General features: G+C 55.1%; 2 protein-coding genes across 3 annotated transcripts, besides 18 other annotated features; one reads left to right on the plus strand and one right to left on the minus strand.

Annotated features, from left to right (window-relative positions):
* Positions 10-339: a silencer, noted in NCBI's record as "silent region_499". NCBI's record gives its function as "represses an Ori minimal core promoter by ATAC-STARR-seq in GM12878 lymphoblastoid cells {active_cell/tissue: GM12878}" and the evidence as "EXISTENCE:reporter gene assay evidence [ECO:0000049][PMID:35858748]".
* Positions 10-594: a biological region, named in NCBI's record as "H3K27ac hESC enhancer GRCh37_chr1:27320180-27320680".
* Positions 94-594: an enhancer, noted in NCBI's record as "H3K27ac hESC enhancer chr1:27320180-27320680 (GRCh37/hg19 assembly coordinates)". NCBI's record gives its function as "activates a minimal SCP1, AML or CMV promoter by ChIP-STARR-seq in primed H9 embryonic stem cells {active_cell/tissue: H9 hESC(primed)}" and the evidence as "EXISTENCE:reporter gene assay evidence [ECO:0000049][PMID:30033119]".
* On the plus strand, positions 97-7,291 carry TRNP1 (TMF1 regulated nuclear protein 1). Of its 2 annotated transcripts, none has more exons than XM_005245867.4 (2): positions 97-1,035; positions 6,252-7,291. In XM_005245867.4, the coding sequence occupies exon 1, from the start codon at positions 192-194 to the stop codon at positions 873-875; it is 684 nt and encodes a 227-aa protein (XP_005245924.1). In that variant the 5' UTR covers positions 97-191; the 3' UTR covers positions 876-1,035; positions 6,252-7,291. The 2 variants fall into 2 exon arrangements, with proteins under 2 accessions (XP_005245924.1, NP_001013664.2); NM_001013642.3 differs by having other exon boundaries at positions 97-1,017.
* Positions 370-429: a silencer, noted in NCBI's record as "silent region_500". NCBI's record gives its function as "represses an Ori minimal core promoter by ATAC-STARR-seq in GM12878 lymphoblastoid cells {active_cell/tissue: GM12878}" and the evidence as "EXISTENCE:reporter gene assay evidence [ECO:0000049][PMID:35858748]".
* Positions 3,967-4,572: an enhancer, noted in NCBI's record as "H3K27ac-H3K4me1 hESC enhancer chr1:27324053-27324658 (GRCh37/hg19 assembly coordinates)". NCBI's record gives its function as "activates a minimal SCP1, AML or CMV promoter by ChIP-STARR-seq in naive H9 embryonic stem cells {active_cell/tissue: H9 hESC(naive)}" and the evidence as "EXISTENCE:reporter gene assay evidence [ECO:0000049][PMID:30033119]".
* Positions 4,083-4,377: an enhancer, noted in NCBI's record as "tiled region #4179; HepG2 Activating DNase unmatched - State 1:Tss, and K562 Activating DNase matched - State 4:PromP". NCBI's record gives its function as "activates a minimal TATA promoter and a strong SV40 promoter by Sharpr-MPRA in HepG2 and K562 cells {active_cell/tissue: HepG2 | K562}" and the evidence as "EXISTENCE:reporter gene assay evidence [ECO:0000049][PMID:27701403]".
* Positions 4,330-4,389: an enhancer, noted in NCBI's record as "active region_533". NCBI's record gives its function as "activates an Ori minimal core promoter by ATAC-STARR-seq in GM12878 lymphoblastoid cells {active_cell/tissue: GM12878}" and the evidence as "EXISTENCE:reporter gene assay evidence [ECO:0000049][PMID:35858748]".
* Positions 4,400-4,519: an enhancer, noted in NCBI's record as "active region_534". NCBI's record gives its function as "activates an Ori minimal core promoter by ATAC-STARR-seq in GM12878 lymphoblastoid cells {active_cell/tissue: GM12878}" and the evidence as "EXISTENCE:reporter gene assay evidence [ECO:0000049][PMID:35858748]".
* Positions 5,301-6,500: an enhancer, noted in NCBI's record as "P300/CBP strongly-dependent group 1 enhancer chr1:27325387-27326586 (GRCh37/hg19 assembly coordinates)". NCBI's record gives its function as "activates an origin of replication core promoter dependent on BRD2, BRD4, P300/CBP, MED14 and CDK7 cofactors, with strong dependence on P300/CBP, by STARR-seq in HCT116 cells {active_cell/tissue: HCT116}" and the evidence as "EXISTENCE:reporter gene assay evidence [ECO:0000049][PMID:35650434]".
* Positions 8,201-8,804: an enhancer, noted in NCBI's record as "H3K27ac-H3K4me1 hESC enhancer chr1:27328287-27328890 (GRCh37/hg19 assembly coordinates)". NCBI's record gives its function as "activates a minimal SCP1, AML or CMV promoter by ChIP-STARR-seq in naive H9 embryonic stem cells {active_cell/tissue: H9 hESC(naive)}" and the evidence as "EXISTENCE:reporter gene assay evidence [ECO:0000049][PMID:30033119]".
* Positions 8,522-8,681: an enhancer, noted in NCBI's record as "active region_535". NCBI's record gives its function as "activates an Ori minimal core promoter by ATAC-STARR-seq in GM12878 lymphoblastoid cells {active_cell/tissue: GM12878}" and the evidence as "EXISTENCE:reporter gene assay evidence [ECO:0000049][PMID:35858748]".
* Positions 10,232-10,876: an enhancer, noted in NCBI's record as "NANOG-H3K27ac-H3K4me1 hESC enhancer chr1:27330318-27330962 (GRCh37/hg19 assembly coordinates)". NCBI's record gives its function as "activates a minimal SCP1, AML or CMV promoter by ChIP-STARR-seq in naive H9 embryonic stem cells {active_cell/tissue: H9 hESC(naive)}" and the evidence as "EXISTENCE:reporter gene assay evidence [ECO:0000049][PMID:30033119]".
* On the minus strand, positions 11,425-19,255 carry TENT5B (terminal nucleotidyltransferase 5B). Its single transcript, NM_052943.4, has 2 exons — positions 18,812-19,255; positions 11,425-13,362 (listed from the first exon to the last, which is right to left on the minus strand). The coding sequence occupies exons 1-2, from the start codon at positions 19,073-19,075 to the stop codon at positions 12,349-12,351; spliced, it is 1,278 nt and encodes a 425-aa protein (NP_443175.2). The 5' UTR covers positions 19,076-19,255; the 3' UTR covers positions 11,425-12,348.
* Positions 12,165-12,808: an enhancer, noted in NCBI's record as "NANOG-H3K27ac-H3K4me1 hESC enhancer chr1:27332251-27332894 (GRCh37/hg19 assembly coordinates)". NCBI's record gives its function as "activates a minimal SCP1, AML or CMV promoter by ChIP-STARR-seq in primed H9 embryonic stem cells {active_cell/tissue: H9 hESC(primed)}" and the evidence as "EXISTENCE:reporter gene assay evidence [ECO:0000049][PMID:30033119]".
* Positions 12,809-13,452: an enhancer, noted in NCBI's record as "OCT4-NANOG-H3K27ac-H3K4me1 hESC enhancer chr1:27332895-27333538 (GRCh37/hg19 assembly coordinates)". NCBI's record gives its function as "activates a minimal SCP1, AML or CMV promoter by ChIP-STARR-seq in primed H9 embryonic stem cells {active_cell/tissue: H9 hESC(primed)}" and the evidence as "EXISTENCE:reporter gene assay evidence [ECO:0000049][PMID:30033119]".
* Positions 13,453-14,096: an enhancer, noted in NCBI's record as "OCT4-NANOG-H3K27ac-H3K4me1 hESC enhancer chr1:27333539-27334182 (GRCh37/hg19 assembly coordinates)". NCBI's record gives its function as "activates a minimal SCP1, AML or CMV promoter by ChIP-STARR-seq in naive and primed H9 embryonic stem cells {active_cell/tissue: H9 hESC(naive and primed)}" and the evidence as "EXISTENCE:reporter gene assay evidence [ECO:0000049][PMID:30033119]".
* Positions 14,741-15,384: an enhancer, noted in NCBI's record as "OCT4-NANOG-H3K27ac hESC enhancer chr1:27334827-27335470 (GRCh37/hg19 assembly coordinates)". NCBI's record gives its function as "activates a minimal SCP1, AML or CMV promoter by ChIP-STARR-seq in primed H9 embryonic stem cells {active_cell/tissue: H9 hESC(primed)}" and the evidence as "EXISTENCE:reporter gene assay evidence [ECO:0000049][PMID:30033119]".
* Positions 18,501-19,154: an enhancer, noted in NCBI's record as "H3K27ac hESC enhancer chr1:27338587-27339240 (GRCh37/hg19 assembly coordinates)". NCBI's record gives its function as "activates a minimal SCP1, AML or CMV promoter by ChIP-STARR-seq in naive and primed H9 embryonic stem cells {active_cell/tissue: H9 hESC(naive and primed)}" and the evidence as "EXISTENCE:reporter gene assay evidence [ECO:0000049][PMID:30033119]".
* Positions 19,155-19,809: an enhancer, noted in NCBI's record as "H3K27ac-H3K4me1 hESC enhancer chr1:27339241-27339895 (GRCh37/hg19 assembly coordinates)". NCBI's record gives its function as "activates a minimal SCP1, AML or CMV promoter by ChIP-STARR-seq in primed H9 embryonic stem cells {active_cell/tissue: H9 hESC(primed)}" and the evidence as "EXISTENCE:reporter gene assay evidence [ECO:0000049][PMID:30033119]".

Below are 20,045 nucleotides of genomic sequence, written 5' to 3' on the forward strand. Positions count from 1 at the left end.
CGGGGCGGATTCAGGGCGTGCCTGTCTCTGATTGGCTGTGCCGCCCGTCGCTCCGCCCCGTGTTCTATAAGATGCGCGGACGGCGGGCGCGCCTCTGGGGTGGGGGCTGTGGCCGTGTCTAGCTGTTCGGGTGTGCTGTGGTCATCCTCCCTGCGCACCTACAGCCGCAGACCGCCGGTGGGGGGCGGGGGATGCCGGGCTGCCGCATCAGCGCCTGCGGCCCGGGGGCCCAGGAGGGGACGGCAGAGCAGAGGTCGCCGCCGCCGCCCTGGGATCCCATGCCGTCCTCTCAGCCCCCGCCCCCAACTCCGACCTTGACTCCTACCCCGACCCCGGGTCAGTCCCCGCCGCTGCCGGACGCAGCTGGGGCTTCAGCAGGCGCGGCCGAGGACCAGGAGCTGCAGCGCTGGCGCCAGGGCGCTAGCGGGATCGCGGGGCTCGCCGGCCCCGGAGGGGGCTCTGGCGCGGCTGCGGGGGCGGGGGGCCGCGCGCTGGAGCTGGCCGAAGCACGGCGGCGGCTGCTGGAGGTGGAGGGCCGCCGGCGCCTGGTGTCGGAGCTGGAGAGCCGCGTGCTGCAGCTGCACCGCGTTTTCTTGGCGGCCGAGCTGCGCCTGGCGCACCGCGCGGAGAGCCTGAGCCGCCTGAGCGGCGGCGTGGCGCAGGCCGAGCTCTACCTGGCGGCTCACGGGTCGCGCCTCAAGAAGGGCCCGCGCCGCGGCCGCCGCGGCCGACCCCCCGCGCTGCTGGCCTCGGCGCTGGGCCTGGGCGGCTGCGTGCCCTGGGGTGCCGGGCGACTGCGGCGCGGCCACGGCCCCGAGCCCGACTCGCCCTTCCGCCGCAGCCCGCCCCGCGGCCCCGCCTCCCCGCAGCGCTGACCTCCACGCCCGGACCCCTGGCCACCCCGACAAGCTTCGCCGAGGTGCCGACCGACCGACTGATCGCGGACGCCGGCTGGAAGGACTACGGATCCGCAGGAAGAGGCAGTTGGGGGCCAGGGGCCCAGTAGAGGAGGCTGAGGTGCGGTCTTAGCGGCTGGTGCGTTCGAGGGTCGGTCATGGCGTGTGGGGGGCTGGTCCAGGGCCCGGGAACTCCCTTCCCTGGAGCTTCTGGCGTCTGCTGGGTCCCTAGTAAAGCTGCCACTTTCTGTTGCCGCCTCTCCCGACCATCTGGAGAGTGAGAGGTGGTAGCATCAAGTCTCCATTATAAGAGTTGGACTCTTGAGGGGGCTCAGATCCCAGGAACGGGTTGGCGGCAAACTTTTACCACTTGGAACCTGCCGCACGGATGCAGCACCCCCCATCCTCACCCCCACTTGCGTGGCCTTTCCCGGGCCCCTCGGAGCTGTGAGCAGTCTTGCCCTTGAGGATGCTGCTTCCTGGCGCCGCCCAGCTCCGTGCCTTCGGGAGGACAGAATAATGAGGCCCCAGGATGGGGTGGAGGCTGGCACAGGGCTGTACCACTGAATTCCCCCTCTAGGCCTGTTTCACCTTTGGGGAGACGGAATCCCAGAGAGGTTTAGGATTTGTTCTCTTCATACTTAGGCCCTTCTTCTTCTAGGAGACAGCTTTTCTTATGCCGTCATGCAGGTTCGCAAAAATTACAGCCTGACTCACATAACCAGGACAGGATGTCTGGCACCTGCTCACCCAGGGATCCTTACATAGCAGAACCTAGAGGCTTAACTCCCAACCTGTTACTAAGATGGCTCGGCCAGGTTGGAACCAGGTGATACCCTTTAACAGGCCCCAAGGGGGCAGGTGTGGTATCAGCTTCCAGAAAGGGGGGCCTTAAAGAGCCAGATCTGAGGTGAGATCTGCTTCTCTTCCTGTCCAGATGCCCTTCAGTCTCCCATTCCTCTGTCCCCACTGTGAATGACCTGGCTACCACATTGCTGCTCACCAGCTGAGTTAATTTCACTCTCACTTATCAGTCTGCGAAGTGGATCTCTTAACCTCCCAGAGGGGCTGTGGTGACGTTAACCCAGGGCAGAGGTCCTTCTTCTTCCTCACTAAATCATGGAAAGATAATTTTTTTGTTGTTGTTGTTTGTTTTGAGACAGTGTTTCGCTCTTGTTGCCCAGGCTGAAGTGCAATGGTGCGATCTTGGCTCACTGCAACCTCCACCTCCCGGATTCAAGCGATTCTCCTGCCTCAGCCTCCCAAGTAGCTGGGATTACAGGCATGTGCCACTATGCCCATCTCATTTTGTATTTTTGGTAGAGACCGGGTTTCTCCATGTTGGTCAGGCTGTTCTTGAACTCCCGACCTCCGGTGATCTGTCCGCTTCGGCCTCCCAAAGTGTTGGGATTACAGGTGTGAGCCACTGCACCTGGCTGATAATGTATTATTTTAACTCACACCTGGAAACAGGCACTGCTTTTGCTGATAGAGCCATGAGCTAATTTAAAGTCCTACTTTTGCAGGGTGGAGAGGGGATTTCTCAAGGTCACATGCCAGTGAGGGAAGAATCAAGGTCCCTGGCCTGTGTGTGCACCTCCCACAGTACCCTGGGCAGGGGCTAGGGAGAGTTGTCCTCTGGATCCTGTCTGCTCTGTGACTTAGAACAACTCTGCCCCCTCTCTGGGCCTCTTTCCTCAGTCCCTCCTTGAGTCAGGGCTTGGGAATGGGGTGAAGTGGGGAGGATGCTTCCTTCCACAGGAATCTGGGAGGGTCAGGTGCACTGCTCTGATAGGCTGAGGCTTGGGGCCCTTATGGGATCCTCCCTCATCAGCCCTTCTCCCTGGATACCAAACTTTTTGGCTGGTTTCTCGGCTAACAGCAAGGCTTTCCTGAACCCTTTCTTAGCTGGGGAAGGGAGGTTCAGGAGGGAGTCTCAGAGCCTCTGACAAAGTTAGGGAACCCCAGGGAAGTAATGAAGGGGGCAATGCCATCCTCTGGTCTTTCCAAACAGGGAACACCTTCCAAAGCCACTTGGGTCATTTGGGGTCTAGAGGCTTAGAGAGGACAGGACATCTTGGAAAGAGCTGAGCTCAGGCCTTGGTGCTGGGCTGCAGCCAGGACCATTTGTTTTCTGGGTTGCATGGGAGGGGGCACTTGGTCCGGAGAAGCTTTTAGCTAATGGTGTAAAGTGCTCGGTGCCATCACAGTTTTGGCTTTCTCCAGGATTTATTTGTAATCAGCTTGTCCCGATTTGGGGGTGGGGTGGGTGAGTAGAGAATTAGAGACGACACTGGCTAGTGTGTGTGTGTGTGTGAAGTAGAGGGTAGTAAATGGAGATTGGTCCTGGTGTCACAGGCAGCTCTGCCCCCTCCCTCCACTTCCAGATGTCCCACTGCTCCTCATCAAGCTTCCTGGCCAGGGCACACACATGTAGACTTGAACCCCAGCTCCTAGTTAGTGCTATGTCCATTACCACATAGCCAACTAACAAAAGGCACCTCCCACACCTGCCTGACCCTCCAGGGCCCCCTCTAGAAGCTCACCCGTCTGGCTTTATTCAGGCTGGGTGCGGTGGCTCATGCCTGTAATCCCAGCACTTTGGGAGGCCCACGAGGGCCAATCACTTGATGTCAGGAGTTCAAGACCAGGCTGGCCAACATAGTGAAACCCCTTCTCTACTAAAAATAACAAAAATTAGCTGGGCGTGGTGGCAGGTGCCTGTAATCCCAGCTACTCGGGAGGCTGAGAAAGAATTGCTTGAACTCGGGAGGTGGAGGTTGCACCGCACTCCAGCCTGGGCAACAGAGCAAGACTGTGTCTCAAGAAAAAAAAAAAAAAAAAAAAAAGCTCACCCGTCTGCCTCCATTTTCTTCTTAATTAGCAAATATTGATAGGGGCTCAGAAAGCAGAGCCAAATCAGAGGAGGGTCTCTACTTTTAAGGGCTTATGTCTCCTGGCTCTTTTCCAGGCAGGCTTTTCTGGCTGTCACCATCCCAGGGGATCCCTTGGGGGCTGAGCAGTTTGTTGGAGGCCAGCTCTAGCCTCGGACAGAAGGCTGACCCACCCCTTTTCCCCACATGACTTTCAGAACACTTTCTTGGTGGCCCCCAGCTCTGGGGACAGGACTGAGTACAGGGATCTTGGGGGACCTGTGCATTGAGGACACTGACGGCCACCAATGAATTTATATCTCAGCAAAGGGAAATGAGGGGGGAACAGGAGCCTTTCTTCAGGCTGGTGCTTGGGGCTGGGAGACCAGTTCAAGGTTCTAATCTGGGACCTGCCCCTCAACTGGATAACCATGTGAGCGTTGCCACCAGAGGGCAGTGTGGGGCTGCTTTCTCGAGACGAAGGGGTGTGGCCTGGAGGAGGTTCAGTCCTTTATTGTTCCTGCCCCCAATCATCCCTTTGCCCGGTAGTCCCCGGGGCTTCCTAGACCTTGAGCTGCAGGGGCCTGGGAGAACGAGCAGGGTAGTCGCGGTCAGCGCAGCCCTAGAGTGGGAGTGTAGTTCTGGGGATAGCTTCCTGGGTGGAGTGGGACTAGAGGCCAGAGCTGTGCCCATCACCGGCTCCCTAGGGGCGGGAACCCTCTTTGAAAGGGGAGCAAGGCCGGGTGCGGTGGCTCACACCTGTACTCCCAACACTTTGGGAGTTTGAGGCGGGCGGATCACGAGGTCAGGAGATCGAGACCATCGTGACTAACATGGTGAAACCCCGCCTCTACTGAAAAAAAAAGGGGGGAGCAAAGGAAGCTCCTTTGGTTGGGCTGAGCCTGGAACCCCAGGGAGAAGACCCATTAGGAAAGACTTCCAGAAAAGACAGGTAGCCCTTGTTGGGGTCACTATCAGGATAAAAGACCAGAGTTATTTTGTATTCACAGATTTGTTACACTAATTGATCAGAACCCAGGGTCCCACTGCCAGTGGTGGCCAGTGTTGCCTCTTAGAGATTAGGCTGGAGCCACAGAACCTGGCCAAGGTGGTCCAAGCCTGCAGCCGCTCCCCTGTTGGTGGGTTCTTCAAGAACAACTCGGGTGCTTAGGCTTCTCAGAGCTGAAGGAGAGGCCTGCTGTCATGAGAGCGGTGCAGGAGGAGGTATTTGGGAAAGCCTGGAGATCCCCAACCTACTTCTTCCCCCATTGGTCCTTGACTGCACCCTGGCCAGGGGCGATGGGGGAAGGGAACTCTTGGTTCTGGAATAATATCTTAACCACCTCCTCTATGCCAGGCCCCTGAGCACTTTACACCCATTAATCTGTTCCGGTTCTCCCAACCACTCTGCAAAGTAAGGGTTATTATTCCCATTTCCACAGGTGAAGAAACAGAGAGGGAGGGCGGGTGACTTGCCCAAAGACATAGGAGCTATAAGTGAGGGATCTCTTAAACATTAGGATATATGGTGATTCATTTATCAGGCTAAAGAGAGGTCCGTTTAGGGGGATATCTGGGCTCCCACATTCAAGGCTGTGTATAGTGACCCTTGGTCCTTGGGTATTGGAAGGGACATGAGATGCTGGAGGGGTGGCAGAAGGTGCCCCTCCCAGAGTTTGGGCACACCCCAACCTGGCTGGGCCCTGGGGGTGAGTCAGGCTGAGTCAGCAACCTGGCTTCTGAGGAGGGTGGGCCAAGGATGCTCAGGGCTCAAGCCTCCCAAGGGCTTGCCTTGGAGGGCTGCCTCCTCTCCCTGTAGATCTGGGCTGGCTAACAGGGTGAAATCCCATCTCTACTAAACATACAAAAATTAGCCGGGCGTGGTGGCATACCCCTGTAATCCCAGCTACTCCGAAGGCTGAGACAGGAGAATCGCTTGAACCTGGGAGGCGGAGGTTGCGGTGAGCCGAAATCGCGCCAGTGTACTCCAGCCTGGGCAACAAGAGCAAAACTTCGTCTCAAAAAGAAAAAGAAAACTTGAGTATTAAATGAAAAGTCATACTAAGTACTTGGCACATAGTAGAGATCCGTAAATGATGGAACCAATTTGCCCAGCCCTGGAGAGGCCGCCAGGACAGAACCCCCAGGCAGCGTGGGCCTCTGCTTCTCTAGAGCATCACCATATCAGGAATCCCTGGAATGGGCCCTGGGGAACTCCATAAGGGGAGAAGTGGAGGAGGGGCAGGCTTTTCATCCCAGGAACATTCCATTCTAACTGCTCAGGCTAGGGGATCCCAGCCAAGGACAAAGGCCCAAGGGAACCTCTGCTTCCCCAGGAGTCCCATTCCATACTATTGCCTCCTGCATCTTCTCTCCACAATGCCCCCGCCCCCTTCAGGCAGATTTCAAGTTGAAGGGCTTGGGTGGGGCTGGGTGGCTGTGGGAAAGAGGCCATTAAAGCTCTTGGAATTATTCTTTCCAGCTCCTTCCAACTCCTCAGAACCTCCACTCTATGGATCTGGACCTCTGGATTCGGCTTTCTCCCTGGGCACTGCCTTCAGGAAGACGTTGAGAATTGACCTTACACAATCCCAGCGCCCTCCTCACAGGAGCCTTTCACTTTACAGTGGCAAGGGGCTGGTTCTGGAGAACTGGCTGATGCTCTGAATTTCTTCATATACCCCACATTTGACTTTGGCTTACACTGTACAATTGGAGATGTTGCTACAGGTCCCTGAGATGCAATCAGATTAAGCGTAGCAAGCATTGCCAATGGGAAAGTCAAAATAATTTATTTTTTTTCCCTTTCCCCCTACCCCATCCCCAGCCAAGAATTTCTTTTCAAGATATCGTCATCATTCTTAAACAACATTCTTAACCCCCAGCTGGGGTCCCCATTTTAATAGATGTCATTGCTTCAAGTCTAACGGCGCCGGGAGGCCTGTTTGAGGGAAAACATTAGTTTGAAAAATCCCCGTTCCCTTCATCCACTGCCCTTGTTCTCCACGTGGGAGTGTGCTTGTGGCCCCTCAGAAAGATAGTCTGCTGGCTCCTAGGGGTTGGGGTGGGGGACACACCTTTTTCTCAGGAAGAGGTGATGGCAATGTAAAACATCTAAGCAAAGTTTTAAATGAAAAAAAGGAAACACATTTAAACATCCTGATAATGGAGGGAAGGGGGGCACATTTACACATAGCCCAGAACTTGTAGAATTCTGCATAGTGAATGTATATTGAATTAGTCTCCTGCCTTATACATTCAGGAGGAATAAATTTCCATAATGTAAGGCAAATGCATGGGGTTCTGAGGTTCACTTTGCAAGTGCCCTTGCTGCCTTTCCTCTGTGTCTATTATGGCTCTTTAAGTTGACGGTTCCTGGAGCAGCTTGTATTTAGTTTCGTTTGGCAGTCTGGCCCTGTTGACTTTGATTTGCAGACCAATTCTCCCTTGACCTGACTCACAGCCGCCTGCTCTTACCCCCCTCCTCAGGAAGTCTTCCTCATTAAAGGATGTGATGACGGAGCTCAGGGATGAGAATGCACATGTGAGACTGTGTGACACCAAGGAGGGTTGTGCGAACTGGTGACAACATGGCAGCACCATGGCCTGTGGGGGTTGTGTGACTAGTGTGACTGTGCTGGCGACCATATGGACCTGTTTTGTCAGTCGGTGTCTAAGCAGGAGATGGCACACTCAAACTGGGAAGTGTTTTAAACATAGGCTATTCTGGCCTGGCATGGTGGATCACACCTGTAATCCCAGCACTTTGGGAGGCTGAGGCAGGAGGGTTGCTTGAGCTCAGGAGTTCGAGACCAGCCTGGGAGATCCCTGCTCTATAAAAATGAAAAAATTAGCCAGGTGGGGTGGCACATGCCTGTGGTACCAGCTACTTAGGAGGCTGAGGTGGGAGGATTGCTTGAGCCCAGGAGGTCAAGGCTGCACTGAGCTGTGATCCTACCACTGTGCGCTCCAGCCTGGGCAACAGAACAAGACCCTATCTCAAGAAATAAAACAGACTATTTCCAAAGGCGTGGGCTGGGCTTAAGAAACTAACAAGGGGCTGGGTTTGGTGGCTCACATTTGTAATCCCAGTACTTTGGGAGGCCGAGGCAGGCAGATCACCTGAGGTCAGGAGTTTGAGACCAGTGTGGCCAACATGGCGAAACCCCATCCTATTAAAAATACAAAAATTAGCCAGGCGTTGTTGTGTGCACCTGTAGTCCAAGCTCCTTGGGAGGCTGAGGCATGAGAGTGGCTTGAACCTGGGAGGCGGAGGTTGCAGTGAGCTGAGATCGCGTCACTGCATGCCAGCCTGGGTGAGTGCTCTCCCCCCTCCACCCAAAAAAAAAAATGTAATGGGATGGTTCAGCAATCTGGGGCCAGCAACAGTGAGAAGCCTTTGCAACTCCTGAGTCTGAGGGTGAGGAGAGGTCACTGTGTGGAGTGGGGCCCCTGACAAGAACCGTGACCTTTGGTTGAGAGATGTGGCCAACCATGGCAACCTGGTAGAGAGGGAACAAAGAGAATAAATATCTACTCCTCCCTTAAGTCTCCTTAAGACGCTGGGATGTCTCATTGGCAACCCAACAGGAAGCCGGGGAACAAGGGAGCCATTGATGCAGTCCACAGATGCCAGCCCCCAGGGAACAGAGCAGAAGTGTGGCGAGTGAAAGCGGAAGGGCAGCATATCATGTAACTGTCTGAGGCTATGCCTTGTTCCTCAAAGTCCACAGCAACGCTCCTTCCCCATCCGGAGCTCCCACAACCCTCGGGTCTGAAGGGGTGGGTGGACTGTTGCTTGGAGAGCACAGTAAGGTTGGAAGGTAGAGGACAGGGCTTTTCCCTCTCAGCCTTTGCATTGCTGGCTCTGAGTCCCAGTTCCTGATTCCTGCCTGTCCTGGTGTCTTAGGTAGCTGCAGGAACTGTCCACAGGAGGAACCATGTCAGCCACTGAGTCGGTGTTTTTCTCACACTCAGAAACGCTGCACCACTCCCAAACAAAACCACAGGCGTGCTGCTGCCATCATGAGCCCTGGACAGTCATCACAAGCCATAATTACTGTCACATGTATATCAAGAAAACATACATCTTGGCCAGGTGTGGTGGCTCACGCCTGTAATCCCAGCACTTTGGGAGGCCGAGGTGGGCAGATCACGAGGTCAAGAGTTCGAGACCAGCCTGACCAACATGGTGAAACCCCGTCTCTACTAAAAATACAAAAATTAGCTGGGCATGGTGGTGGGTGCCTGTAATCCCAGCTACTCAGGAGGCTGAGGCAGGAGAATCGCTTGAACACGGGAGGCAGAGGTTACAGTGAGCTGAGATCGCACCGCTGCACTCCAGCCTGGGCGACAGAGCGAGACTCCGTCTCAGAAAAAGAAAAAAAAAATGTACATCTTGCCACACTGCTACACTGTGCCATAGTCACATATAAAATGACAAATGTCACAGTAATGTCAAATTATGCCTTGTCACATACGTACAGGAGACAACTGTCACAATCATGTGAAATCACAGTGCAGGAGCAGGATGGAACAGAGGTTAACAGCAATGGCTCTGGATCCAGACAAACCTCTTTGACCTCTCTGGTCTCAGTTTCTGTCTGCCAAATGGAAATGCTTTCTTTCCCCTTGTGGAGTTGTTGCAAGGATGATTTGGGAGATCATGATTGGGAAGACCTCAGCATAGTGCCTGCTGGAGTGAAGCCCACCAGGAATGGTGGCTGCTACTGTGAATAACTGTCTCACACGCCCCCACTGCCTCAGGCCCATGCGTGTGTGCAGTACCAGCACCTGGACGAGGCCTGCCAGACACCCTCAGGTACATGTGCCACAGTGCATGCACATTCACAGGCAAGCTCTCTGCCTGGAATGCTCTTTCTCTAAACATCTTCATGCCCACCTCCCACCACCTTTATGTCTTTGTTCAATCAAATATCACCTTTCAATGAGTTGCACCTGACTTTTTTTTTTTTTTTTTTTTGAGATGGAGTCTCGCTCTGTTGTCCAGGCTGGAGTGCAGTGGTATGATCTCAGCTCACTGCAACCTCTGCCTCCCAGGTTCAAGCGATTCTCCTGCCTCAGCCTCCCGACCAGCTGGAATTACAGGCACACGCCACCATACCCAGCTAATTTTTGTATTTTTAGTAGAGATGGGGTTTCACCATGTTGGCCAGGTTGATTTTGAACTACTGACCTCAAGTGATCTGCCCACCTCAGCCTCCCAAAGTGCTGGGATTACAGGCATGAGCCACTGCGCCAGGCTCCTGACTTATTTTTCAATTTTCAAAACCCAGCATTTCCAGTCCCTTACCCTGCTATATTTTTACATATCACTGATCATCTAAGACCATACGGTTCGGTTTATTTTCTATCTACTCCGTTAGAATGTAGTCTTCACAAGGACAGGGATTTTGTCTTTTGTTTGCTGATGTATTCCCAGCACCCAGAACGGTGTCTGGCACATGGTGGCTGAATGCAGTGTATACACACATGTACCAAATGGGTTTCTCGCTTTTTCAGCCCTTAACTAAACAAGCACATCCAGGTGAACTCCACCCCCCAGCCCAAAAAGGTAAGTCTGTTGTGTTTACACTGTGAGCCTCTCATGCCAAGGCTGAAATAGCCAACTCAGGAGGTGAGACAAACTTAGTCCTTCCCATGACCATAGTTGGGTGGTCACAGCTGGGATGGGGGTGGGAGCTGGTTTTAGTCACCAAGCAAAGAAAGCCTTTCTGTTCACTTTCCAGCCATTTTGAGCCCAGCAGCACAAGGGACTCAGAGCAGGTGAGGTGGCTGGACTCACCCTGGTGACCTGGGGCCTCCTCTGCAGCATTGTTTTTTCCACCCTGGCCAGAACCATCAAAGTCACCACTTCAGAGGCCCCTAATGAGGCTGAATATGTTAAGGGCTTTGCAATCCCTGGATCAAAGAGTCTGGGCAAACAGCAGGCAGCGTCCAGGCCCATGACTGACTGGCTGATACTCTGAGGGCGCAGCATGCTAGGAACTTGCGGCTGACACTCCTAGACAGCCTGGCATGGCCCCATGTGGGTTTGGGAAGGGGAGACCCTCCCCATCCAGGGGATCTGATTAGAGCGAGCCAGAGCACACCCATCAGTGCTCGGGGCAAGGGAAGGAGCTGGAGGACTGAGGGAGCCTCTCCCAAATAGAGGCCCTACCTGGGCTCAGGCTTAGGGGGAACCCTACAAGTTCCCCAGTCTCAGCCACCTTTACTGGAGGGGCCTCCAGTCCAGATTCACCCAGCCTGTTCTCTAGCTGCTCCCTTGGAAGAGACGGGGTAGACAGAGCTGGGAACAAGTACCCCTGAGCACCAGAGTCTGAGTCTAGGCCCAGAGCTATTTGGATTCCAGGTAGAAAACATAAAAATATTTACTCCTTAACAAGAGCCCTAGACCTGCTAAGGCAACGTGCAGGTCACACATGTAGACAGCAGCTCTTAATATACAGCTGGTCAGGCTGCGGCTGGGGTTGGGAGAAGGAGGGGCAGTCCCCCAGCCATAGCCCAGGCTTCAAACCCCGCCCCCGCAAATGCTCCCTTCCACAGTACAAGCCAGACTCCAACTGGGGGAGGCAGCTGCAACCCCCACTGCTACGGAAGGTCCTTCTTTCCCCAGAGGAAGCATGGCACTAAGGTTCAGTGTAGACCGTCTTTATTGGCAGGTGTTAAGAGTGCAAAATATCAACAAACCCAGGGGAATACGCAAGGGGGTGGGAGTATGGCTCCCCTACCCCATGTGAGAGCCCTGTAACCAAGCCAGTGGGGTGGGAACGTTGACTTGACTGTGGCAAATTCAGGCTCAGCACCTTCCAAAGAACAAGCTCCCAGGCAGGAGGGCTCCTTGCAACACAAGGGGGAAAGGAGTGGCACCCTGGAAGGGGCCTGGGCTGCGACCCACCCTGGGCTGCTTGGCTCCTGTATACTGCCCACCTCAACCCCTCAAGAGGAAGGCTTCACAGCTGGGGGTATGTAGTTCAGAGAACCGGGCTAAACCCAGCCCTCCCCAAACCCAGGTATCTGCCTCGGGCCTCAGTTTCCCTCCTCCCAGTGATTACCCAAGTTGGCCCATCAGGCCCTGTAGTGGCCCAGCCTGATCCAAAGTGACAAGTCCCTGTAACATACCATGTATCAGTCAGTGTGTGGGCTGCAGGCCCTCCAAAGCTGCTGGGATCACCACAGGCTGGCCTTAGTCAAAAAGACCCTCTTAGACCATGGGAATCAATCCAAGGTGCTGGGCATTAAGGCTACCACCCCAAACTTGCTTTGTCTCCTGAAGGAAATTGACTTCCAAGACAAATGGCGCCTGCACCCCACCGGCATGCTGGTCCAAAAGTGTGATGCAATAACCAAAGGGTCCTCCTGCTGAGAGCCCCAGGCTGGCATTAAGCCCACAGGGGCCTCGTGCTCGGGAAAGTCTGGTCTGTTCAATCAAAGGCCCAACCCTGCAGTGCTGGGCCTCCTGGCACATTCTGCGCCTCTGGTCATGTCCTCCACACACTCTTGGAGGCCCCACCCCACCCCGTGAGGCCCAGTCCCTTCCCTTCTGGCCAGGGTCTGAGTCAGTTACAAGGCAGCCAGGTGGGATAGGCGTGAGCCAGGAGAGGTTGCACGGGGGTCACGTAGTAATTGACAGTGGCTGGCACAACCCCGTCAGTGCCTGGAGGGCGCCAGGCCAGGGCGGCAGTGGCAGCTGGGCCCTGCTCAGCCAGTGCCTGCAGCGCCAGTGCGGCAATGAGGTCCAGCGTCTGGCGGCGCTCGTGGTTCATGAGGCACACGGTGCTCTCGTTGACCACCCGGTGCAGTGTCACCAGGCAGGCGTAACGGCGGGCTGCATCTGCCCCACCGAAGTGGGCCTCCAGGTAGCGCTCTAGGGTGCGCCGCTGCTCCACCAGGTCTGGAAAGTCGATGAAGAAGCGGGAGCACATGTAGCGCTGCAGGGCGCGCACATCGGTGCTGGGCCGGGGCCGGAAGCCCCGCACCAGGAGGTGGCAGTACTTGAGGAGGCCACCACCTCGGATCTCCTCGGGACTGCGCGTGGCGATGACACGGTGCCGCAGGTGCTCCAGGGCCTCGGTGAAGTCCCCGTACAGGCTTTCGCCTGTGACCGTTGGGTGGAAGGCCTCAGACATGGGAGTGGACGAGCACTGGCCAAAGAGCAACAGGGAGTCCAGGATGATCTGGAAGGAGTCTATGCTGAATTCAAACTGGCGTCTCACCGAGTCCACAAACTTGAGCTCCACGTTCTTGCCGCTCTTGTTGGACAGTGAGATGAGGCTCCAGCGGTCCGAGTCTGTGCACACTTTCACCAGCTTCTGCACGTATGCCTCCTTGAGTGTCAGTGGCGTGATCTTGGCCCGGCTCACACCGGCCGGCAGGAAGTCTAGTAGGCAGGCCAGCACCACTGCCTTGGTCAGCTGGAAGGATGCCTCACTGCGCAGGTCCACCCGGAACACCAGGTCCAGATCCTTGTAGCCCAGGCCACTCTCAGGGTGCAGCACGTGGCTGGCAGCTGAACCATGCAGCCGCACACTGTGCACATGTAGTCCCTGCTCCTCCAGGGTGCTGCGGACCACCTGCAGGGGAGAGCAGGAAGGAGAGGTGTCAGGAGCGGGCCTCAGGGGTCCACCAAGGACTTCCGTTTACTTATCACGGTAACTTCAACCACTATTGGCCCCTAACCAGCTGTTATGCCTTTGGAAAATCATTTAACTTTTTTTTTTATTGGGTGGGGGTGGGGGGGTTGGGGGGGAGTCATTTAACTCTTTAAACCTAATCTGAGAATGGCCCATCTGGAGGAATGACTCAGGAAGAATAGCAATGATAATAGCACACATCTGCATAGAATTTACTAAACAGCAGGTCACTTAATCCTCACAATAACCCTGTGAGGTGGATACTATTATTCACACTTTACAGATGCAAAAATGGAAGTACAGAGGGGCCAAGTAACTAGCTCAAAGGCAAACAGCTGGTGAATGCAGAGCTGGGAATAAAACTCCGAGTCCAAGTCTTTTTTTTTTTTTTTGAGATGGAGTCTCACTTTGCCACTCAGGTTGGAGTGCAGTGGCGTGATCTCGACTCACTGCAACCTCCGTCCCCCGAGTTCAAGTGATTCTCCTGCCTCAGCCTCCCGAGTAGTTGGGATTACAGGGGCCTGCCACTGTGCCCGGCTAATTTTTGTATTTTTAGTAGAGACAGGGTTTCACCATCTTGGCCAGGCTGGTCTTTAACTCCTGACCTCGTGATCCACACACCTCCCAAAGTGCTGGGATTATAGGCGTGAGCCACCGCGCTCGGTGGTTTAAGTCTTAACCGTGCTATTCTACCTCTCAAACTGCTAGTAAAACAGTTCTGTATCAGGCACTGTGCTAACTGCTCAAACGTGTTGGGAATATGGTTAGCAGTTCACATTCATGACCACATTAACCCTCCCCATAATCCTACATTTGAGTATTATTTTGACTGATAGATGGAGGACCTCAGGTGCAGAGAGGTAAAGTCAAGGTCACAGAGCGGTCAGGCTGAGACCAGAACCCAGGTTAGTTGGGATTCTCAAGTTCACCTATGTCCTTTTGACTACAATGCACTCATCCTAACTCATCCTTACAAGGACCCAGTGAGGCAAAAATTATATACTTTTTTTGCTCTCGGATGAGGAAACTGAGGCTTACAGTGGTGAAACAGCTAAGGCTCAGTGAAAACTCTCAGCCTTCAGACAGTCCCCAGGCCTGATGGCACAGGACAGATAAACCTATAAGTGGTCCCTCCGCTGAGGTACCAGGTAGGGAGAAGAGTGAAGCTGGGGGTTGGGGACATTCAGTTTTCTCAGTAACCCAAAGTTGTCCTGAAAGTGACCAGGCAGCATTCCTGTCCTGAGTGATTCTGCAACCCTGCCTTGCTGCCAAGTCAGCACCCAGCTCCAGACCAGGCTGTTCTCCTTGCCTCCCAGGGAATTACTACAAAGAATGCACCTAAGTGCTGAGAAGGCAAGCTGTGGTGGGGCAATCAGAGGCGGGCGGCGCCCTCCAGGAAGACTTCCGGGAGGAGCAACTTTACCAGGGGAAGATATTGTCATGGCAATGGGAGGGTAAGCAACTGGCCACAAGGAACACGGAGAATGGGGCGTAAGCAGCTGGCCATCAGGAACACAGAGGGTGGCAGAAGGAGGCTAGGCATCTAATGAGTGCCGAGCACTGGACCTTGTTGCCAGAATCTATGGGGACAGGTGTCTTTTTTTTTTTGAGTCTGAGTCTGTCATCCAGGCTGGAGTGCAGTGGTGCAGTCTCAGCTCACTGCAACCTCCGCCTCCCAGGTTCAAGTGATTCTTCTGCCTCAGCCTCCCGAATAGTTGGGATTACAGGCGCCCATCACCACACTCAGCTAATTTTTGTATTTTTAGTAGAGAGAGGGTTTCACCATGTTGGCCAAGCTGGTCTTGAACTCCTGACCTCAGGTGATCCACCTGCCGCAGCTTCCCGAAGTACTGGGATTACAGGCATGAGGTACTATGCCAGGCCAAGTCTTTTTTTTTTTAATATGGAATTTTTTTCTGCCTTTCCAAACCCTTCTCTACCTTCCTTTCCTCCATCCTTCTTTTTTTTTTTTTTTTTTTTTTTTTTTTTTTGAGAGAGTCCTGATTTTGTAGCTGAGGGTGGAATGCAGTGAATGCAGTGGCACGATCTCAGCTCACTGCAACCTCAGCCTCCCAAGTAGGTGGGACTACAGGTGCGTGCGTGCCACCACACCCAGCAATTTTTTATTGTTTACAGTGATGGAATCCTGCCAGATTGCCCAGGCTGGTCTCGAACTCCCGGACTCAAGCTATTCCCCTGCCTCAGCCTCCCAAAGTGCTGGGATTACAGGCGTGAGACACTGTGCCTGGCCCAGGACAGGTCTCCTGGGAAACTGAAGCTCACAGGAGTGATGTCACTTGCACAAGATCACGTGGAGATGCCTTCAAACCCAGGGATGGCCAACAGCAAAGCCTATCCTGTTTCTACCACATTACAGTCCCAGGGTTCAGAAGGAGCAGACTAGTGTTCTAATCCACCTTCCCTTTCTAAATTTCAAAGCAAAGGCAACCCTCAAGCTACTGAAGCCCAGAGCCAGAATAGTTGGGGAACAGGAAGGTGAGGGTTGGGAGATGCCTTGGCCAGACAAGGCCAGTTGCTGCAGTCCAGCCTGTGGGACTTCTAACCCACACCCTGTCAGCTGGCAGCTGTGCCTGCATGGGCCAAAGACCTTGGTCCAAGGACCCTACCAAACCTGCAGAGAAGACCAGCCCCTTCCTCAGATCCCATTAGGGCTGACTGAGCCTTACTCAGTGCCAGCTCCTGCTCCCAGGCTGGTGCCCACCCCAGGGCTTGGCATCTGGCCTAGTGAGTAGGTAGCAGTACTCTTGTTAAATCCCCTGCGTCAGGGCCATGGGGCCAGCTGTGTCAGCCAGCCAGTCGCTGTTGTCTCCTTCCCAGGTGTGACTACAGCCAGTTTGGCAGACGGTCACCAGATACCACCACACCCAAGTACTGCAGGGCAGCTTGGTGCCTCCTGAATCAGACTTTCCAGCCATGGAGGGGGCAGTGGCTGCACCCTCCTTTCTCCCATGCCAAGGCCCTCCCCACAACCACTCTGCTCCAGGCTGCTGCTGAGACCTGCAGGGAGACTGACAGACGCCGTCAGCCAGCAGGCTTACAAAACTCACATGCTCTGCCGCCTGATGCAGGCCCTCTGGCTGCAGCTGGAGAAATCAGATTGTCTAGTTCAATCCTCTGGGCCCAGAGAAGGCAAAGGACTTGTCCAAGGTTACACAACCAATAAAAGGCCTCCCTGCCTGTAGCTCTGGGAAGGCTCCTTACAGTAGGGTGAGTCCCTTTAGTACAGGTACAAGCAAGAACAGAATCTCTAGCCACTCAGATTGCCACTACAGGCAAAGCCTTGCAGGGGGGTAGAGGGAGAAAGGTTCCAATTTTTGAGCCATAGGACAACTCAGCAGCAGTGAAAAGCCCCAAGGCAACAACCGACACCACCCTCCCCCTCTCCCCGCCCCCATCCCTGCACACATCCCAACAGCTTTAGAAGCTGCCAGCTGTGGATTTCTTCCAAGAAACTTTCTTCGCTGTGGAGGCAGCTGTACAGACCAGGTGAAGGCACCTGTCCCCTTTGGAGTCTGGAACCAGAGAGGGTGTTGGAGAGCAGCAGCCTAATCTATCCATCCCAGTTGAACAGATGGGGACACTGAGCCCAGCAAAGAGAATTGACAACAAACAGTCCAGGGCCTGAATCCAGAAGTCCAACTTCCCAGCCCAGCTCTGAAGTCTCTGCTGCCCTTCCTCACCATCGCCGACAGCTCCCTGTTCTGTGCTATCTCTGACCCAGGTCTAGAAGGACATGGCACCACCATTGCATTGTAAAGTTAGCTTCTATTGACCTGGAGTCTCCCCCATCTGGCTAGGAGCACCTGAAGGGATGGAGGCTGAGTCCTAGTCACATCTGTGCCCTTGGTTTCCTAAACAGGGCTTGGCACAGAGCAGACACCAAGAGGCAATCTGAGCCATACTGACAGGGCAAGGACTTCTCCTCCTTCCAGGGTATCCCTTGTTCTTGCAGAGGGGGGCTGCCACACTGGGCTCCACCTTCCCCTCCCTGCCATGCCTGGGGCCACAATCCTGGAGGTGCAGCAGCTGGGGCCCCAGGAATGACTTGACTGTCCCGGGGATTAAAGCCTCGACTGGTTTCCTAATCACCCAGGTGACAGCGAGCAGCCGAGGAATGCCTCGGCGAACTCCACTGGGCCGCGTGTGAGTCAGCCAAGGAGAATCTGCCCCCGCCCCCTCCAGTTCCTAGTTCCTTGGGAGGGTGGGGGAGGTAATCCCCCAGCAGGCAACCCTCCCCCTCTGTGGGAAGCCAAGGTAGTAGGAGGCAGGGGAAAGGCCTACTTCATCCAAAGGAAGCCATCAGTTGGCAGGAACGCACAGGAGTCCTCGCTGGGTTTCTTGGTTTCTTTTATCAAAGGACCCTCCCTAACACCTAGAAGTTGACCTTGGGAGCCGGGGAAGGGGTGGGAAAACATTGAACCTACTGTAATCTGCTCCTGGGAAGACCCAAAATTCCCTAGGTTTGATTTTCACCTCATTAAGTAATCTTGGGTGGCAAACTGCCCCAGCTATAAAATGGGTACAATAATGACCACACTGTGGTATTTCAGAACATGACAGCGTCTGGGCTGTACAGATGAAAAAGCAGTCTTGGGGTCGTTGAGGTTCAGATAAAGGGAAGAGTTGGAGGAGGGAGGGGCTGTCAGAATTCTCTTCTCCCTTTCCTCAGGAGAGAGAGGACGTGGGGCCTGAGGCCTGGGTTGGCCTTCATTTCCAATCTTGGGAAGGAGAAGAAACACCTAAATTGGTCACTTAATGTTGCCCTTGGGGGTGGGGTATCAGGTCTGACCTTCGGCTTAATAAATATTGGGCCACAACCCCAGCTGAGAGAGAGGGAGTCCCTGACAAGTTTTCTTGGCTTTTCCACGGGGTGGAGGGGGAAGGGGGGGTTTCTCCAGCAAAAGGCTGTAGGAGCACAATGGCAGAGGCTGCTCCTAGAACCTCGAGAGAGGAAAGGAGGGTGAGGTCCAGGGATGCCCAGATAGGGAAGGAAAAGCTATTTTGGACTCAAGCATGCACACTTACCCACCCAGGGCCACCTGGCGTCTTTTGTCCTTGCAGGCAGAGACAAATTCTTCCCCCAATGCCCTTGACATCCTCCTCCCCTCTCCCAGCCAGGCCCTGGGTGAGTGATCCGTGGGGAATCAGGGTTCTCCAAGAGTCGAGATGGAAAAGCCAGGTGGGGAAGGATTAGTAGATGCAGGGGGAGGTCTGGTCTACCATTCATAATGCTGTGCAATTGTTACAGCCATGTCCCCGTTCCTCAGTTTCCCTAGCTGTCTAGAAAGTCAAACAGACTACAAATGCCTTCCAGCCACGAGAGCCTCAGAAGGGATTCCCCCACATCCCCCGCCTGGCGTCCTCTCACCTGCACGATCTGCCGGGGCTGCACGCTCAGCGTGGGGAAGTTGCCGCGCCCGTGAATGGGAATCGGCTCGCTCAGAAGAGCGTCCAGTCGCTTCACCTGTGGCCAGCTCAGCCCACTCAGGTGCCGTCCGGGGAAGGCCGATAAGGCCTCCGGGTCGGGGCCGCCGCCTGCCGGGGCTGCCGTGGCCACCGCCGTGGCCGCAGCCGTCCCCACCTGAGCAGCCGCCCGGTCCCTGCGCTCAGCTCCGCTCTCCGACGGCATCATCCGCCCGGCCCCCGGGCCCCGACGGCAGAAACCGTGGGGGTGGTTAAGGGGAGGAGGACAGGGAGAGCGGCTGGGCAGGGGCCAAGGCGGGGGGCACGAAGGCAGGGACGGGGCGGCAACGACGGCGAGACAAAGCCAGGGAACACCTCAGACGGCGACGACTAACCGACCCTAGCGCCTGCAGCCCGCGGCCCAGCGGACTCTTATAGGCCGCGGGCGACGTGCCCATTGGTCCGGGCCGCTGCCAACAGCGAGAGCCGCCCCGCCTCTGAACGCTCCGGACACTGGTCTGTAGAGCTTTGCACGTGAGTCACTGTTCTCTAGGGAGATTCCGATTGGCTAGAGGGCACGCCCCTGCCCCGCCCTCCTTCTCAGGCTGAATTCCCTCCTTTGGTCCTTAAAGAACTTCTGTTCACTGTGATTGGCCCGGGCCTGGACTTAAAGGGACAGCGCCCACCCCGCCCCGCCAGGGTCAGGAGGGAGGGAAGTGACCTGCGGAGTTTGTAGCAGAGTCAGACCACTGAGAAATTCCAGGTTTCTGTTTTTTTTTTTTAGCGCTGGAAGAAATTGAGAAGTCACCTAGCCTTGTCCTGCTATTTTCAGAAGCCCAAAGAGATTGAGCCACGTGATCAACTCTGCACAGCACTGCTCATGCTCTGGCAGTTTTCCAGAGCCTAGGAAAGGTATAATAAACAACTCTGGGCCCGGCGCGGTGGCTCACGCCTGTAATCCCAGCACTTTGGGAGGCCGAGGTGGGCGGATGACAAGGTCAGGAGATCGAGACCATCCTGGCTAACACGGTGAAACCCCGTCTTTACTAAAAATACAAAAAATTAGCCGGGTGTGTGGCGGGCGCCTGTAGTCCCAGCTACTCGGGAGGCTGAGGCAGGAGAATGGCGTGAACCCGGGAGGCGGAGCTTGCAGTGAGCCGAGATTGCGCCACTGCACCCCAGCCTGGGCGACAGAGCGA

This window comes from Homo sapiens, chromosome 1 (assembly GCF_000001405.40).
Source record: "Homo sapiens chromosome 1, GRCh38.p14 Primary Assembly".
Taxonomy (NCBI): domain Eukaryota; kingdom Metazoa; phylum Chordata; class Mammalia; order Primates; family Hominidae; genus Homo; species Homo sapiens.

Coding starts and splice junctions, on each gene's coding strand:
- TRNP1 (XM_005245867.4), top strand. CDS start 192: ATGCCGGGCTGCCGCATCAGCGCCTGCGGCCCGGGGGCCCAGGAGGGG.
- TENT5B (NM_052943.4), bottom strand. CDS start 19,075: ATGATGCCGTCGGAGAGCGGAGCTGAGCGCAGGGACCGGGCGGCTGCT. Junction 13,363..18,811: donor AGCCCCGGCAGATCGTGCAG/GTGAGAGGACGC, acceptor TCTCCCCTGCAG/GTGGTCCGCAGCACCCTGGA.